At 42.9% G+C, this 14,072-nt stretch overlaps 1 long non-coding RNA gene across 8 annotated transcripts in view, besides 2 other annotated features; it reads left to right on the top strand.

Moving 5' to 3' along the window:
* Positions 1-14,072, top strand: part of MIR4435-2HG (MIR4435-2 host gene) — a 299,296-nt gene that overhangs the window by 31,387 nt on the left and 253,837 nt on the right. The gene's annotated exons all lie outside the window — the stretch shown is intronic.
* Positions 9,429-10,162: an enhancer, noted in NCBI's record as "H3K27ac-H3K4me1 hESC enhancer chr2:112211190-112211923 (GRCh37/hg19 assembly coordinates)". NCBI's record gives its function as "activates a minimal SCP1, AML or CMV promoter by ChIP-STARR-seq in primed H9 embryonic stem cells {active_cell/tissue: H9 hESC(primed)}" and the evidence as "EXISTENCE:reporter gene assay evidence [ECO:0000049][PMID:30033119]".
* Positions 10,163-10,897: an enhancer, noted in NCBI's record as "H3K27ac-H3K4me1 hESC enhancer chr2:112210455-112211189 (GRCh37/hg19 assembly coordinates)". NCBI's record gives its function as "activates a minimal SCP1, AML or CMV promoter by ChIP-STARR-seq in primed H9 embryonic stem cells {active_cell/tissue: H9 hESC(primed)}" and the evidence as "EXISTENCE:reporter gene assay evidence [ECO:0000049][PMID:30033119]".

The following is a 14,072-nucleotide window of genomic DNA, read 5'->3' as shown; positions in this document are numbered from 1 at the left end:
ACCGGCCTGGGCAACATAGTGAGACCTCATCTCCACGCACACACATGCGCGTACACACACACGCGCGCGCATGTGTGTGCACACACACACAAATTAGCCAGGTGTGGTGGCATGGTAATTCCAGCTACTCTGGGGGCTGAGGTTGGGAGGATGGTTTAAGCCAGGGAGGTCGAGGTTGCAGTGAGCTGTGATGGCACTGCTGCCCTCCAGCCTGGGTGACACAGTGAGATCTTATCTCAAAAAAAATAAAAAAATCAAAAATAAAGAGCTCCTGATTTCCATCCCCCACCGAGAATCATTTTCTGAGTCAGCTGGAGTGTTTCAGAGCCCAACACCCAAGGAGCAGTGCAGGGATGGTGCCCAGTTACAGGGGACAGCTCAGCTCTGAATGTTACAAAGGGCACTTCATGGACCACCACCTTTTCTCTGCTTGCTCTGTACCCCTAAAGTACTACAAGGCATTTTTGGTTAATAATAATTTGAATACTATGTGATCTTGTAGATTCTACTGCGTTTGGCTAGCTAATGTCTCTAAGTAGCAAGATGATTTATTTTTTCTGGACAATACCAGGACTATATGCTGATACAGGACTGGCTTGCTCTAAGGATCAGATTTTCCAGTGTAAAATATATACTCCTTATAGGGTTGTAAGAGCAGAAGCCCGTCATAGCCTGTTTCTTTTTGCTCTCTCTTCAGCCAGCAGTTGGCCTGGATCTTTGCTGGTAGACACAGGGAATGTTCTCCTTGATGAGTGGTTCCCACCCTGGCAGCCTCAGATCCCACCATGTTGGCAGGGATGCTGAAATCCACCTGCCTATCAGCCTTTGTAAATAACAAAAATCACAAGTGGCTCTAGCATTTATGTATTCTATGATATTGGGACTCTTGTGATATAAATAATACAAATGCTTTTACATGCATAATTCAATTTATACTATGTTTTATCTTTAATTACCGGATAATAAAAACATAACTACTCTCAGGAAGTGTGAGGGATGGTGACTCAGGCTAAGGTGAGCCTCACAGCCTGGAGGCTGGCTTTAGTGCTGGCTGGGAGAGCTGCAAGGAGATGGCATATGCTGCCGATGAAGGTGTTCTCCAGGAATTTTCAGTTAGAAGTTTTGATCATTGTTCATTTGGCCTCAGGATGAACATCATGGTACTGCTTTTCATTCTCTATAATTAATATACTTTTCACAGTCAACTTTGCATTTGAAAGTATTTATTTTATGGGAAACAGTGAAAAGTAGATAATTAGCACATGTGCAAATCTGTTTGGCATTTGTGGGGTGTTTGCCCTGAAAACCTATGGATGAAGCCCAAAGACAGGAGCTGGGGGGTTTCATTTAGTTAACTTAAAAGTTTTAATTGGTCTGTGTTACTCTTCTTGTTACATATTTTTTTAAGGCCCTAAGGTGAGCAAGTTACATTTTAAAATAAGGAGGAAAAGCCAGTTTTAAAAGTAGAATTGAGTCATTGCATGTGTTTTTTTTTCCCACAAACATTAGCTGTGTGATTATTATGTCCCAGGCACCTAAGGAATAGTGCCCTTGTCCTGGGGAAGTTCACAGTTTGGAAGGGGAGATAGTTGGGAAAGGTAATGTGAATATTAACACTCGTGTTTCCTGGGGGCCAAAAAGTTCCAGCTTCTGGGCCAGGTTAATTATCTGAATTATCTTATTTCATCCTTACATTGGGAACCAGATGCCCCCAATGCCCTTCAGTGACTTTTTTGGTGGCTTTGAGGAAAAATGAGGCCCAGAGAGGTTATGTAACTTGTCCAAAGTCACACAGCAGGTAGACTTAAAGTCAAACAGTTAGCTCCCAATGTGCACACTCTTAATTACCATGCCACTAAACCAGACTCTGAACAAAGCACTCTGGGAGCACAGAGAAGACCTCTGAGGGTCTGTCTGTGTGAGTCTAGGGCATGTTCAAAGTTAAGAGCTGATGTTTAGCTCAGCAGGAAAGGGCTGGGGCACAGTGTTGAATACACATATCAGGTGGCATTTATTGCTGATGACAGTAAAAGAAAAGTGTAAAACAAGATAATTTGTTTACATTTCAAGATACGTTAAGTTTTTTTTTTTTTTTTTTGAGATAAGAGTCTTGCTCGGTTGCCCAGGCTGGAGTGCAGTGGTGCAATCTCAGCTCACTGCAACCTCCGCCTCTCGGGTTCAAGCGATTCTCGTGCCTCAGCCTCCCGAATAGCTGGGACTACAGGCGTGTACCACCACGCCTGGCTAATTTTTGTATTTTTAGTAGAGATGGGGTTTTACCATATCGGTCAGTCTGGTCTTGAACTCCTGGCCTCAAGTGATCCACCCACCTCGGTCTCCCAAAGTGCTGGGATTACAGGCGTGAGCCACTGTGCCCGGCCTCAAGATGCATTAAGTTTTAAAGGCCCCTGGTTATTTCTCGTCTTCTGAGATGTCATTCCAGTGTGACATGGTTAACATCAGTGAGGATGGCATTCCTGTCCCACACAGTAAAATGTCACCTCTCACACACATAACTCTGGGCGTAAAGTGAGTAAAAATATGAGACTTAGAAGAATATTTCATCATGGTATGCTGATTGGGGATTTCACTTACTGATACTAGAAAGGTTTTGCATTTCAGAACACGATGAAATAGGTAATATTTATCTGAAAGACGCAGACAAGTGGTGGAGGAACCAGACACCCCCAGTGCCGTTTGCTGGCTTTTATCAGACAGAAAGCAGAAAGGAGAAACATGTTTTATCCCATGAGAAGGAAATATTGGCTTGATGTCTACCATGCCCAGCCTTGCACTAGACATCCAGGTAGCTGCTCCATGGAGAAGTTCACAGGGTGGTCAGGATAGCACAGGGAGGAGGTGATACGCTTGAGGGAAGTCCAGGAGGGACTCAGGGAGTGTAAGCCAGTAGGGGGGTGCTCCTGAGAAAGGGAATGAGGCTGTGCCTTGAAAGACTGATTAGATAGAGGAGGAAGTGAAGCATCAGAGGCTGCCCAACAGAGGCAGGAGCTGGGGCTGGGGTGGGCAAGGAGAAAATCACGCCGTCCTCCTGTGTGAACAGTAGAGTTTCATCTGCTGAGGGCAGAGGCCATGTTTTATCCATCTCTGTCCCCTTCTATGTCCCTTTTTCTCCTCCCTTCCCCATTCCCTGGCATCATATTGGGACTTGTTAAGGGCTGAATTGTGTCCCATCCCAAATTTGTATGGTGCCACCCCAACTCCAGTACCTTGGAATGTGACCGTATTTGGAGAAAGGGTCTCTGAAGAGGTAATTAAGGTAAAATGAGGTCATATGGGTGGCCTCTAATTCAATATGACTGGTGTCCTTATAAAAGGAGATTAAGAGCACACCAACATGGCACACGTATACATATGTAACAAACCTGCACATTGTGCACATGTACCCTAGAACTTAAAGTATAATAAAAGAAAAAGAAAAAAAAAGGAGATTAGGATATAGACATACACAGAGGGAAGACCCACGTGACAACATAGCAAGTAGGTGGTCATCTACAAGCCAAGGAGAGAGGGAGGCCTCAGAAGAAACCACCCTGCCAACAACTTGGTCTCAGACTTCCAGCCATCAGAGCTGTGAGACAATACATTTCTGTTGTCAGTCTCTAATACTTTGTTATAGTAGCTCAAGCAAACTAATAATCCAGTGCTCAACATATTTTTGTTGAATAAAAGCACAAAGAGATTCATGAGAAGAGGGAAATGTTGCATACTTAGGGTAGGAGCAAACCACAGAGGTCTTTCTCAGCCTGGGCAAAGAATGTCAACTCTGTGTTGGAGCCAGTAGGGAGCTCTGTGGGTCCTCGAGCAGGAAAATCCCATGGCTTAAGCAGTGTTTCAGGAAGACTGGGATGTTAGGCTCCAGAGCTCTGAGCAAGTCAGATGGGACTGGGAGTCATAAGAAGGCTTGACTGTGGCTAGTGATAACCAATGAGCACTGGAAACATGGAGGGGAATCTTTCCTCCCTTTTATATCAGGGTTCTCTCCTAGAGGAGCAGGTGAGGACCTCTGATGGACCAGGAAATTGGAATTCTGCCTGGGAGGCAAGCCCATGGAGGCCCTGATCTGCTTGGACAGAGAGTAGCTCCCTTCACCTGTAAAATGAGAGTGAACGAGCTGGTGTCTAAGGAATTCAGAATCCCCCCCCTGGAGTTCCACAGGGTATGTGGGATTTTAGGGGGACCAGGGTGTCCCCAGTGCAAGAAGGAGGCTCCCACCAAGGGGCTGCAGCACTGCAGATAACCCCCAGGGGTATGAAAAGAGGCTGAACTGGGGGCCTCCACAGTCAGAATCCATCCATTGACCCAGGATGCCAGGAACGGGGAGGCCCATGGGCAGCAGAGGCTCAACGAACTCCGTGGCCTGACTTGGCCACTAGGTTTTTTCAGCTCTTCAGCCACTGCCTGTAGGAGGCTAGCTGGCATTCCTTCCTTGGCCCTTAGCTTGCATGGATGGGGGTTTCACGTTAAATTCTAAGCCCAATAACATGGCTCTTTTTATTTAAACTCAGTGCTGCACAATGATGAATGAATGAATGAAAGATCAGGGCAGATGAACTGTCAAACCTCAGCAGTTGCCCTTATAGTTAGAGGTGTTTCTGTGAAGCAAATCAAAGCTTATAGTATCAAGAACTTTTTAAAAAAGTACACTTTGATCCAAGTTGGATGTTATTTCTAAGTGTACTCAGGGTGAACACCTCTTAAAACCCCTTATTATGTATGCTGAGCTATTCTGAACCTCAGTGAGAAATCAGTAATGTCAAGAAACCTATACATAATTATTTGTTATAATATAAAAATCCAGAGCTCTTCAAGCATTATTCTATCCTAGTTGGTCAGATTCTGCAGGAAAGAACACTGAGCCTGAAGCAAAATAAATTCCTTGAGTTAAAGAAATTTGTGTCTTGTAAAAAAGCTGAATGAGAAATAACGTTAAAAATGGAAGGAGGCCTAATGATGATATTATGCCATCTCTTGTCATTACTTAGTCCTCTGTTGTTTCAGTCATTTAATCTGGTTTTCTTTCTGGATGCTTTAACTTCCATTTTAATATTCCTTATAATTGTTGTGCAATTATAAAAGACAATCTGAGGGACCCGCCTTGACAGCCTGGGGTAGTATCACTGGGAGTAGGATCTCTCAGAATGCTAAGGAGCAGATGCACTAAGAGAGCTGCATTTCACTCCATTTTATTGGATCTTTTGGTATATACGTTTCTGTGACTTTAGTTCAATGGGATGGACTGTTGCATAATACTGAGGGCGATATGAAGGAGGAGTCGTCTACACTTGTAAAAACCTTCTTCTTTAGGGGTGGGTAGTATATAATTGCAAAGGCATTTCTGATTTAATTAAGAGTTGTTTGGTTGGCCGGGCGTGGTGGCTCACGCTTGTAATCCCAGCACTTTGGGAGGCTGAGGTGGGAGGATCATGAGGTCAGGAGATCGAGACCATCCTGGCTAACACGGTGAAACCCCGTCTCTACTAAAAATACAAAAAATTAGCCAGGCGTGGTGTTGGGGGCCTGTAGTCCCAGCTACTCGGGAGGCTGAGGCAGGAGAATGGCGTGAACCCGGGAGGCGGAGCTTGCAGCGAGCCCAGATCGCGCCACCGCACTCCAGCCTGGGTGACAGAGCGAGACCCCGTCTCAGAAAAAAAAAAAAAAAAAAAAAAAAAGAGTTTTTTGGTTACAAGTGACGGAAAACTCAATTCAAAGTGGTTTAAGCAAAATCCAGAGTTTTACCATCTCATGTAAGTGAACAATCTAGGAAAAGGGCGTCATACATACAGCTCAAAATGGAGTCGAGATATTTCAGATCTGTCTTCTCCTCCTGGCCCAGTTTTTAATGCTTTGACCCCATTCTCAAATAAACTCAACCCTCATGATCTCGAGGTGGCTGCCATTTGTCCTTTCAGGTCCAAATCCAGCAGGAAAAACTTTTGTCACAGCATTCCTGTAAAAGGTATGAGGTTCGCCCTGATTGGACCAGCCGAGGTCACATGCCTACACATGAGCCAATCACAGTGGATAAAGGACTGTGATGTACTCATTAATTTACCCGCCATTATCTCCACTCCTGTCCTGAGGGTGGAGTTATGAAGCTTGCTAATGGGGCACTAGGATGTCCACTAGGTTTTACTCAGTGACATAGGTGACCCACTAAATTTAAGCATATTGGTGTGCAAAGGAGGCATTTGTTGACTTGCAAGTAGACACCTCTCACTTATTTGTCACACTCGCTCTTCCTTTTGTAAGCTTCCTGGGAGAGGGATCTCAGTGGCTTTCAAGATCACCCCTTGCAAATTAGGCATCATGCCCATCACTCCATCCCCTGTGTGAGATGGCGGCAGAACAGTTCCTATTCAGACACCTGCCCTCATGCCTGTTCCCCCGTCCTCCCAGCAGCCCCAGCTCCTGGTTCCCAGCATCTAGCTCCTTCCTTATCAGCACAGGGAGTTGCTTTTTGTTTGTTTGTGTTTGAGAAAGACTTCTTATTTCGTGCATGCACATTTCCTTTCTGTGAAGCAGACTCGGGAGCTTTGCCTTTCTGACTTATTCTGTGCATCCTATCAGTGAAGTCAGTGAGTGGCTTCAAAAATGCTTGCTTTCTTTCTTTTTCTTTTCTTTTCTTTTTTTTTTTTTTTTTTTTTGAGACGGAGTTTCGCTCTTGTTGCCCTGGCTGGAATGCAGTGGTGCGACCTCGGCTCACCACAACCTCCGCCTCCCGTGTTCAAGCGATTCTCTTGCCTCAGCCTACCAAGTAGCTGGGACTACAGGCGTCCGCCACCACACCCGGCTAATTTTTTTTTGTATTTTTAGTAGAGACGGGGTTTCACTGTGTTAGCCAGGATGGTCTCGATCTCCTGACCTCGTGATCCACCTGCCTCAGCCTCCCGAAGTGCTGGGATTACAGGTGTGAGCCACTGCTCCCGGCCCCAAAATACTTTCTGATGCTGATAAAATGTTTTGTCTACTCTAATGCCCAAGGAACAGTTCCTCCCTTAGCAGAAGTTAGTGGTTAAAGCTTCCTCTATGTTTGCCAGTCAAGAATGCCACAGGGCACCAGCCTAAGTGTCCATGAGTGGATGAGTGGATAAAGAAATGCAGCACACACACGTATATACACAATGGAATACTATTCAGCTTTTAAAATGAGGAAATCCTGACATTTGCAACAACATGGATGAACCTGGAGGACATTATGTTAAGTGAAATAAATTAGGCACAGAAAGACAAACAACACATGATCTCACTTATACGTGATATAGAAAAAAGTTGAACTTACAGAAGTAGAGAGTCGAATGGTGGTTACCAGGCATTGGCAGGGGTAGGGTAATGGGGAGATATTGTTCAAAGGATACAAAAGTTCAGATAGATAGGCGAAATAAACTTAAGAGATCTACTGTACAACATGTGACTCTAGTTAATAGCAATGTATTGTATTCTGAAATTATTGAGAGTAAATTTTAATTGTCTTCACCATAAAAGATAAGTATATGTGAATTAGCTCAATTGAGCCATTCCTTAATGCTTATTTCCAAACATCATGTTACACAGTAAATGTAATAGAGTTTTTGTCAATTAAAAAAATTACCAAAAAATAAAAAATGAATTCCATAGAGACGTTCTCTCCAGGAAGGGTCCCCTTCCTAGATCTGACTACTGGTTAGGGTTAATCAATGCCCCTTGGCAAAACAAAACCAACCCCACATTTCTTCATCTCCCATGTCCAAGACACATGCAGTGAGTTCTCAGTGTTTACTACCAGCACACAAATGATGGCTGCTTTATTATTTGGTGACCTTTGTTGTTTGTTGTGATTGTTCTGTTCAGTTTTAGTCCCTCACAGCACTTTCAGCCATTTAGAAAGACAGTATTTGTTCTGCTAGAGCATTTGCAATCTGTTTCTGATTAGCTTAACTGGTCTTGACCAGTGCTAAGTTCACATTTCAGCTTTGATTTATGCTGTCTCTATCTGCAGATATGTTTCTTGTTACGCTAAACAAGAGGAGGCCTCTTCTTACTGACTTCTTATTTTCATGTGAACGAGGTAATAGGTATCAGGAATAATTAGACAAGGCCATACGTGCTAGTGTCATAGGAGACTGAGATATGGAGAGTAAATAATAACAAAATTCCTGATTACTAGGGCATAGAAAAAAAATCTTAGGCAATTCCCCAAGTTGATAATCCCAAATGTCTAGGTGTCCTTCTCAAATAGGGAAACATGACATTAAAACTACTCAAAATAAATGAGACTCAGTGGTATTTATAACCATAGATAAAAAAGAGCAAGGGTCCTAGGGAACTGTGCCAAGGCCCAGCCCTTTGATTCACAAGTATCCACAAAAACAGACTGTACGGGCTGCTTTCAGGAGAAAATGTGGCCATCAAGGTCAACACTGGAAGCCCTATGGCCACTCATTCATTCCATCTCATTGGCCCTGAGCCTTTCGAAAAGTAGGCAGAGAAGAAGCCCAAAGAACAACATGGCAGGCAGGTTAAGGAAGAAAAGCAGAGTTCACAGACATCACTAACAATTTCGTAATGACCTCATGACTTCGCTGGAAGGATTCCAGTGGAGGCGTCACCAGCCCTTTGTCCACCTCTTAGGCTGAGAACCTCAAAGGTTGCCCACACCTTGACCACATACTTTCTTCCTTTTCTTACACAATCAAGCTCTGCACCAAACATTAGGGGGACATTTGCATTTTCATTATATTCATGCGTATTTCTAGCAAAATACCAATTCTTACTGATAAGATGTTGACTTGTACAGTGTGGCAAGGAATACTGTCATACAGTTGTGCCGAAAACAAGCCCATTTACTTATTTTTTTAAAAATTAATTATATATAATTCTTATAAAATAACAAATTCCATTTATTTCCTCTTGATCTCTGTCATCAGAGACATTTGAAGGTCGGAGGTGGGTTCAATTGAAAGACATAATGCACTTGACAAGTTGTTGTATGTGTGCATTGTGAATAGGCCTTAACAGTGCATTCATTTGTTTTATTTTCTCCCATTTATACAGACTTTTGTTCTGCTCTTAGATAAAATACTAATAAACAGGAAGTTGAAAAAAAAATGTGGTGCAATTGTTCTGAATGTTGTTTTTCTTGCAAGGCTTTATGGGCCACACCACACCATCCTATTCAAAGCAGTCCCTGTAGGTGGTGGTGTTAATAAAGAAATGAGGCTGCCCAGGGCCGCCTGCCTGAGCCTCTCTGCAGCTGCTCACCTCCTGCTGAGGCCTCTGCCTTCAGAGCTAGTGGGGCCTGCTCACACATTCCAGTAGTTTCCTCTTTATTTGTCCTGAACCAAGTTGTAGAATTTAAAGGAGGTGAAGTAAGGCGATTTCTATGGAAAATATATTTTTCTTCTTTACTCCTCATGCTGAATGCATAAGAATTTATTATTTCCCCTGAATGTTCAAAGTGGTGTGTGTGTGTGTGTAAAAGAACCAGGAGCAAACAATCTTAATAGGAATGTGCGATCTTGTGTTTATCTTTAGCACACTTAATTAGCTACAACCCGGGACTGTTGCCATTTGAACAAGTTGTTAAGAAAATCTGCCATGTTTTGCTCTTTTTTAAAAGGAATGACTTTAATAACCATAGCAACACTTACTCAGTTTTGTGATCCACTCCAAGATTATGGGAGCAAGAACAGATACTCCTGAAAGCAACCCTCACCTCCTCCCCCGCCCCCTGCCCTCAGCAAGTCCTGGCCTGTGTGAACTGAAGGGTTTGGAAGCTCTGGTTTCTAGGAGTGCCCAGAAGCTAGAAAGACTAGGGTGTACTAGTTATTGAGGGGCAGTTGTCAGTGGCAGTGTGGGGGCACCCCAGTTGTTATTCGAGGCACTGCATTGCTTTTTTGTCTCCTCTGTAAGCATCCTGCCTCAGTGTCAGGGCTTGCAGAACTAGGCCTGGAGTTATGCCCCCTACCCAACCAAGGCTTTGCCTTTTGCCCCCCACTATGGTGCCACCTACTTGGGTTTCCCACAGTTGGTAGTGCCAGGCAGGAAGCAGGAGTGCAGGTTGCAGGAAGGGAGAGCAGAGGAAACAGAAGTTGCTTAGGAGGGAGTTGGGCAGGCTCTGTCCCCAGCAGATCCAAGGGTCCCTGACAAAGAGAACACCTCACCTCCGCCCCTCCCCAGAGGCACACAGAATGCCCCCTCCCACCACCTCCAGGCTGTTAATTCACACCCACCCAGGCTGCCCCCAGGCTCCCCAGACCTGTGCCAGTCAAGCCTGGCCTGTGGCTGTGACACCTGCATTACCCCAGATGGTTGCCTGACCTAGGCCTGTCCTTCTATCTGCTTTGTTTTTATGTTGATTACTAGGTGAAGCACAGTGTTAAAAACGGGAAGAAAAGGCTAGGAATGCAGTTATGGGAGTGTGAGGCTGGGTTGGAATAGGTGGGAGAAAGTCCAGGGCTGAGTGTGTGGACCCTGCTCTAGGGATCTGACCGGCTCAAGCTCCCAGGCCATTAAACAAAGTTGTTAATGTCAAAAAAAAAAAAAAAAAAAAAAAGGGAGAGAGTAAACAAATCTCTCCTCTGTTATTCTGCACCTGGAGAAAAGTAAACCCCTTGGGCATAATAGGCTGTCACCAATTAGACATCCGGGAAAGGCTTTTCTGGGTTTAGCCCTTTTGGGGAAGCATGGGGGTAGATGTAAGTGTGTGAACCTTCACCCAAGTTCTGGAGAAGGATTCCAGAGTGAAAGAGGTTTCCATGCTGAGTCTTGCATTTAAGGGACCTTCCATGGCGTAGCTGCAAAGAAACCTGAATTGCCCAGGATTAACCACCTTTCCTTTAGACGGTGAGCAGTGTGTTTCATGAACACATTACACATTTTAGGGTTGTCTATGGAGGTATCGGCACTCTCATTACTATTTTTAACATTTTATTCTCTGTTCAGGGTTAAGAACTTCACCCACCTAAGTCAGCTCCTGATACAACATGGAATGTTCCAGCAATGAAATGTGAACTTAAGATATTTGGATTAAAACCCCAAAGTTGAGTCAGGTTTAAATATTCTGCAAGAAGCAGTGAGCTCCTTTTGTCTATTTGGGCACAGTTTTCGTGAATTATTTAGGCTTTTCTTAGATGCCTGAGCTCCGTGGTTAGACAGCAGATAAGTTATTTTTCCCTTTAATGCTGAGGCATTTTCACTGATTTCAGTCTTACTCATTAGAAAATTCTGTGCTCACCCACAGCTGCCAGGGTTTCTAGAACACAACACCCTACCTTCTCCTGTAGACATTTTAGTCCGTCCTCGCTCCTGCACTGTGGCTTTCACAGTCAAATGTGAGTTGACCAGCCGTCATTTGTGAGCTGTGAGTGGTATTTTTGGAACTTGCCCACCCCCATTCCCCCAGAGTCCTGTGGAGGTCATGCTCATGGGTTCTGCCACCGGGACAGGAAAGTTTGGACATTACTACCAAAAAAATGCAACGTGACTAAGCACCGTTTAAAATAGCCTTTCTTATTCTCTTGTAAAATTGCAGGGATTTCCATGACAGATGTCGTTTTAGTCATTTTAAAACTTCAGCGCGCTGAGCCTCATCAGCATATTTTTATTTTTGACATTTCATATTTTAGAGTGGATTGAAAACTAATTTGATCCGTTTCAATTTGGAACATCCCTCAAGGTCATTTTACCAGCATTTAGGCCAGTGTTGATCTTGCTTTCATTTTAAACATAGTTATTTTCTCTCTGTGAAGTGATTACTCCTTGCTTGGTGTGTGGTCTGGTGACTTGTTAATTTCAAAATTCTACGATGCAAGCGGGTTTGGACGTGGAGCCTGGCCCGGTGTGGCCAGGCTGTGGCTTTGCCCATCGCAACGGCTGCCTTTGCCTCAAATGGCTCGAGGCTGGCACCTGGTCAATATTTGCTTTTGTCCAAAAGAAGGAAACAGTAGAGGACTTGGGTGGTGTAATTTTAGAACTTTACTGTTGGGTTGTTGGCTTGAAAGATCCATTCTCTTCTGTAAATACAGATACATATTTACTCCTCCAACCTTTCCCTCCACACAATTAAGAAACCCTACAATTAATTATGCCAAATCAAGATTTGCTTTTCTACATGATTTTTTCCCTTTTCCCTAGGAAGTCTGTAATGAATTTTCTTCTTTATTGTAATATTTTATGTTTTTATATACACTTGTATATTCTTATAGCACATATATGTATATATGCAAACTTTCTGAGGCTTCTAAAAAAGAGAAATAATATTGGTTGATTAACCTCAATTTCTTTTCAATATCAAATGTGTAACAATAACCCCAAAAGGAGAGGTTTCAGAAATTAAAACAAGTTGACATTTGCCCACTTCTGAATTAAAATGCAGCATTTGACTTTTGTACTGTTTTGGCTGTCAAGCCTTAGTTTTTTCACACTATCAGGTATTTTCAGATCAAAGGTAAATATGATTTAGAATTATATTTCAAATTAGAACTGTCATATGCCCACACATACATTTTGCTGATATACTTACAAACTGGTAAACAATGCTCTTTAATCAACAATTCATAATCTGGGTCAGCGATTTTTATCTCCATATTTGCTCATACTGTATGACATCAATATTTTATATTGGCTTGCCCATAACTTAATATTTTATAAAAGCCTACCTATGAAATTCATATTTCATATTTGCTTGGCTAGGAAATTAATTTTTGTGATGCTGCAGTTCACCTTGTAGCATACAAATTGAGAAAATTAGCAAGCTGCATGTAGTTCCTTGCTGTACAAAAACAAATGACACATGGTGTCTTTATCACTTGTTTTGTATTTACAGATAAATTTTAAAAATAAAACTTGCCATTTCTGTTAACGTGGAAAACTCCCCACCCCACTCCCATTCTTGTTGACTCTTTTTTATTTTTAAACAGCAAATACATAATCAACTTCAGTCATCTCATTTTCAGGGGAATTACTCATTGTATTTTCTACTTACAGTCACCGGGGCTGATGTTGGGATCTGTGATCAGTTTCCTGTTGTTACGCATAGCTTTTCTCAGCGGTGAGAGAGACATCATGTACAGAGTACACACGGAGGGTTGAGATAGCAGCCTGGTTTATCTTACTTCTGATATGACTTTTAAAATATTGATTTTAAAAGTGTGTCTTTGAGTGTACCAAAATAGTATGTCCCTGATGCTTCTCACTGGATGCAATCCCTGCGCAAATGCTTTCTATGTAATTAGATTTTGGGGCTCAGCTTCCATTTTTTAAATCTGTGAAAGCATTGATCATGCCAGCGGCCCTGGAGAGGGCCACTCTGTTTTAGTGCCATTTACATGTATCAGGACAGGACAGAAAAGGGACAGCATATTACAAACAAAATAAAACTATAATCTTGTTCAATCCTTGTCATGCTGAGGATGTTTGTAAATATAAAAAAAATTGTATGGATTCCACTTACATGAGATAACTGGAAGGGTTAGATTCATAGAGAAAGAAATTAGAGCAGTGGTTACTAGTGGCTGGAGGCAAGGGGGGGGAATGAGGAGTTATTGTTTAATGGGGACAGAGTTTCTGTCTGGGAAGATGAAAAAGCTCTGGAGATGGATGGTGGTGATAGCTACAGCACAGTGAGTGTACTTAATACCACTGAAGAGTACACTTAAAAAATGGTTAAAATAGTAAATTTTATGCTATGCCTATTTTAGCACAATAAAAGAATACACATTCATGGAAACAGGGCATTTAAATCATTATGCATAATAAAGTGAGAAGGTAGTTGTGATTTGCAAAAAATTATAGAAATTATAGGGAGAAACACAATCTCAAGAGCCACCCTGGAGTCCAGAGCTCTCGTTTTACAGATTCAGGAGTGGAGGCTCAAAGAATATATGCTTTCTTAATGACTGGAACCCAGACGGCAGGACCCCCACACAGGGCTCCTTGCTGACCCTTTGCTGCCTTCCCCCCTCCCTTAGAGGGGCCATTCTTTATTCTGAGTAAACGTGCCACTGATTAGATGGGCTTCATGATAAAGACCTGCAGTAAGGACGTTTTAATCTTTTAATCTAGACGGTTCACGA

This window comes from Homo sapiens, chromosome 2 (genome assembly GCF_000001405.40).
Source record: "Homo sapiens chromosome 2, GRCh38.p14 Primary Assembly".
NCBI classification, from domain to species: Eukaryota; Metazoa; Chordata; class Mammalia; order Primates; family Hominidae; genus Homo; species Homo sapiens.
The sequence above is the reverse complement of the archived record's forward strand: the minus strand, read 5'-3'. Positions and strand labels throughout refer to the sequence as shown.